This window comes from Homo sapiens, chromosome 2 (assembly GCF_000001405.40).
Source record: "Homo sapiens chromosome 2, GRCh38.p14 Primary Assembly".
Classification (NCBI taxonomy): Eukaryota; Metazoa; Chordata; class Mammalia; order Primates; family Hominidae; genus Homo; species Homo sapiens.
In genome coordinates, this window is record NC_000002.12 from 162,935,433 (window position 1) to 162,939,782 (window position 4,350).

Genomic DNA, 4,350 nt, shown 5'->3' on the forward strand with positions numbered 1-4,350 from the left:
TAGTGTTTCCAGAAAAGAATCCTTCCTCCAAAAAAGCATGATAAATTAATTTTGACAAAGGCCCACAGGCAATTCAATAGAGCAAAAACAATCTTACCATTTGTTTCAATAAACAAATGGTATTGAAACAATTAGACATCCATTTATAAAGAAAAAAATGAACCTCAACCTCACACCTTACAGAAAAATTAACTCAAAATAGACCAAATAACTAAATACAAATTGTAAAAACTATAAAACTTCCTGATAAAAAGAAAATTTTCATAACCACGTGTTAGGGAGGAAGTTATTAGATATGACACCAAAAGCATGATTGGTTAAAGAAAAATATTGATAAATTAGGATTTCATCAATATTAGAAAAACTTTTTTCATGTGAAGGAAATTATTAATTAACTGAGAAGTCACATAGGAGAAAGTACTATAATTCATAAGAAGCCTCAAAATTCAGCAATAATAAAACTAACTCAATTAAAAAACAGGCAAAATATCTGGACAGACACTTTACCAGAGAAGATATGCAGATAGATAATAAGCATATGAAAAAACGTAACATTGTTAGCCATTTGAGAAATGCAAATCAAAGCCACAATGAGATATCACTACAAGGCTATAAGAATGACTAAAACCGTTAATGACAACAACAACAACAAAAAGAAAACCTAACAATTCCAAAAGTTGGCAAGGATGTAGAGCAACTAGAACTCTCATGCATTGCCAGTGGGAATGCAAAATTGTACTGTCATTCCGTAAAATAGTTTGGCAGGTTCTTGTGAAGAGAAACATATCTTTACCGTACAATCCAGCAATCCCCATTCTAGATATTCCTCATATAGAAATGTAAACATATGTTCACACAAATGCATGCACACGAATCTTTATAGTGTCTTTATTTATGACTGCCAAAACCTGTAAGCAATCCAAATGTCATTCCTTGGAGAATGGATAAACAAATCACAGTACATCCATGTAATTAAATAGTCTCAGTAACCTAAAGGAAAAAATACTACTGATACTATTGACACAATAACAGGGATGTATGTCAAAAATATTATGCTGAATGAAGACCGTCTCAGAATGTTCCATCAATTTGAAATACTTTTAAAGAGTAAAACTATAGGGATACGGAATAAATCAATGGTTGCCTGGAATTAAGCATACAGAGGGGGCTTGATTACAAATAAGAAGTCCAAGAGTGTTTTTTGGGGAGATGGAACTGATATATATTCTGACTGTAGTAGTGAATACCTGAATAAATATACATATTATATATTATATATTGTATATATAATATACATATTATATATTATATATTGTATATATAATATACATATTATATATTATATATTGTATATATAATATACATATTATATATTATATATTGTATATATAATATACATATTATATATTATATATTGTATATATAATATACATATTATATATTATATATTGTATATATAATATACATATTATATATTATATATTGTATATATAATATACATATTATATATTATATATTGTATATATAATATACATATTATATATTATATATTGTATATATAATATACATATTATATATTATATATTGTATATATAATATACATATTATATATTATATATTGTATATATAATATACATATTATATATTATATATTGTATATATAATATACATATTATATATTATATATTGTATATATAATATACATATTATATATTATATATTGTATATATAATATACATATTATATATTATATATTGTATATATAATATACATATTATATATTATATATTGTATATATAATATATATTACAATTTTAGAAGAAAATAAGGTCAATTGTACTTAGATAAGTTTTAAAACAGTAATAACTCCTTTTACCATAATCTTTAGTTGCCTTTCTTGTTATGCTGTCACCAACAGCAAACCACATAATTGTAAACAATGCCAATCATAAGGCCAAAAGAAAAGAATTAAAGTTGCTCCATTTGTTCTAAACTGTTGTAGATACTCCATGGTGTATTTTTACATGGTATATATTTATAAGAATCCTCTCTATCTTCCTATAGTTCAATGGTTTTACCATGCTTATTAAGGATTATGAAAACAACTCCTCTAATTCTCTGTTAATGTATCAATACATAGGGATATCAGTGTTAAAGCTATTCATCATTGGCAAGTATATTGGAAGTGTCTACAAAATTATTTTTTCTTATTTTAATATTTTTTCGGAAGATGAATAGTAGAAATGCATGCTCAATGGCATTTTGTTATAGAAAACTGTATGCAGAAATACTTTCTCTTCACCATTATATGTGTTTATAAGGATTGACACAACATTTATGGTAAGAAAGATTTAAACGTTCTCTAACTTAATTTGATTCTCTGATTTTTCAAAAAAGCAGGACTTGAATTTCAGTTTAGTAATCTTCAGCACTCTTTGGGATTTGATGAAGTCAACCATTACTTAAATTCAAATGATATGGACAGGAGACGGAAATACTGGGTAAAAGAGGGCGGTTACCTGGCAAAGGCCCCACCCTTAAGCCTGAAGACCTGCAGCGCTAAATGAGGACAGGCATTTCTGTTTTCCAGCCTCAAAATTTTTTTGGCCTGCCATGCCCCCCAATTGTGCCCCCATATAAACCAGAGACCTTAGCAGGCACACACACAGGCAGCTGAATGTCTGTCGAGACCAGCAGACCAGCAGAACAGCAGACCAGTGATGGTAGAAGGAGGTGGCAGAGAAAGGGAGAAGAGGAGGGACATCTGAACTCCGAGGGGAGTTTGGCCAGGGGTGGTCAGAGAACAGCCACTGGGCAGCCCAACTCCAGGGGAAGACTACTTTCCCACTCCATCCCCACTTCTGGCTCCCCATCCACCTTGCTAGAGCCACCTCCACCACTCAATAAAACCTTGCACTCACCCTTTGAACCTGGGAGTGATGTGATTCTTGCAAGATGCTCGGCAAGAGCTCAGGATACAGAAGACCGTCACACTGGCCCTCTGCCCTTGAGATAAGGAAGAGGGTCCATTGAGCTGATTAACACACAAGCCTTCTGCAGACGGCAAATCTGAAAGAGCTTTGTAACACATGCTCACCTGGGCTTTGGGAGTCGCAGACACCCACCCCTAGATGCCGTCGTGGGGCGGGATCGCGAAAGCGCTCACCCGGGCCTCTGCACCTGCCTGTCTGCATGCTCCCCCTAGGGGTTTGAGCTGTGGGGCAACCAAGCAGGCGAGCAACACCCGTGTCTCACATCCTGGGAGGGGAATCAGGAAACTCTCCTGTTTCAACATATATATTACTGTGATTGTCATTTGGTGTGTCAATTTGATTAAAAATATTTGTGAATATTTATTATATCTATAGTTTATTTTTCTTGGGTTAACTTCAATAAATTTGTATCAGCCTATGGAGTCTTGCCTGTTTTTGTGCTTGATCCTTTAGATATTCTTATAAAATTTTGTATATTATAAATACACGTGTAAATTAATAAAAGGACTGACATTACTGGCAACCTTAGTTCTTAAATACATATGATGGAGATTTTTAAGTCAAATAAAATGGAAAACTAGTATTTTTCTGCCTTTCAAAAGCAAAGTATGACATTCCCTTATTTCTAGCCAACCCCATGGTAGAGTCGGAAGCCTGAGAAGGTGCTGAGTTTTACTCATAAGATGTTCTCCAAGAAGAGTTTAACCAGACATACTTCAGAGGTTTCCTTGGAATAGTTTGTTTTTATTTTTGTTTATGAAAATATCACAATCATGCCTCATACTGTGTTAGAAAGTTGTAATATTCCCATGAATCCCAGAGCTAACTCTTGTCTTTCTAAGCACTTAACAATGGATAATGAAACATTCTAGGGAAGCTTTCTTCACTTCTGTTGTCCCAAGGCCGTTACTGATATTAAATTAACCTCATTTTAAAGAGAATTTTTAAAAACTTTCTACCCGGGCGTGGTGGCTCAAGTCTGTAATCCCAGCCCTTTGGGAGGCCGAGGCAGGCGGATCATGAGGTCAGGAGATGGAGACCATCCTGGCTAATACGGTGAAACCTCGTCTCTACTAAAAATACAAAAAAATTAGCCGGGCATGGTGGCAGGGACCTGTAGTTCCAGCTACTCGGGAGGCTGAGGCAGAAGAATGGTGCAAACCTGGGAGATGGAGCTTGCAGTGAGCCAAGATCGTGCCACTGCACTCCAGCCTGGGCGACAGAGGAAGACTCCGTCTCCAAAAAAAAAAACTTTCCATCATTAGTGCATTTCCAAATGTTGCATCTTGGTTAAACACAGCACTTGCTCATCTTATCAAAGGCATTCCTTTTCTTTTAACATTTGGAGCACATGGTT

The 4,350-nt window shown here is 34.0% G+C and overlaps 1 annotated feature.

Moving 5' to 3' along the window:
• Positions 2,987 to 3,281: a silencer, noted in NCBI's record as "tiled region #11367; HepG2 Repressive DNase matched - State 12:CtcfO, and K562 Repressive non-DNase unmatched - State 13:Ctcf". NCBI's record gives its function as "represses a minimal TATA promoter and a strong SV40 promoter by Sharpr-MPRA in HepG2 and K562 cells {active_cell/tissue: HepG2 | K562}" and the evidence as "EXISTENCE:reporter gene assay evidence [ECO:0000049][PMID:27701403]".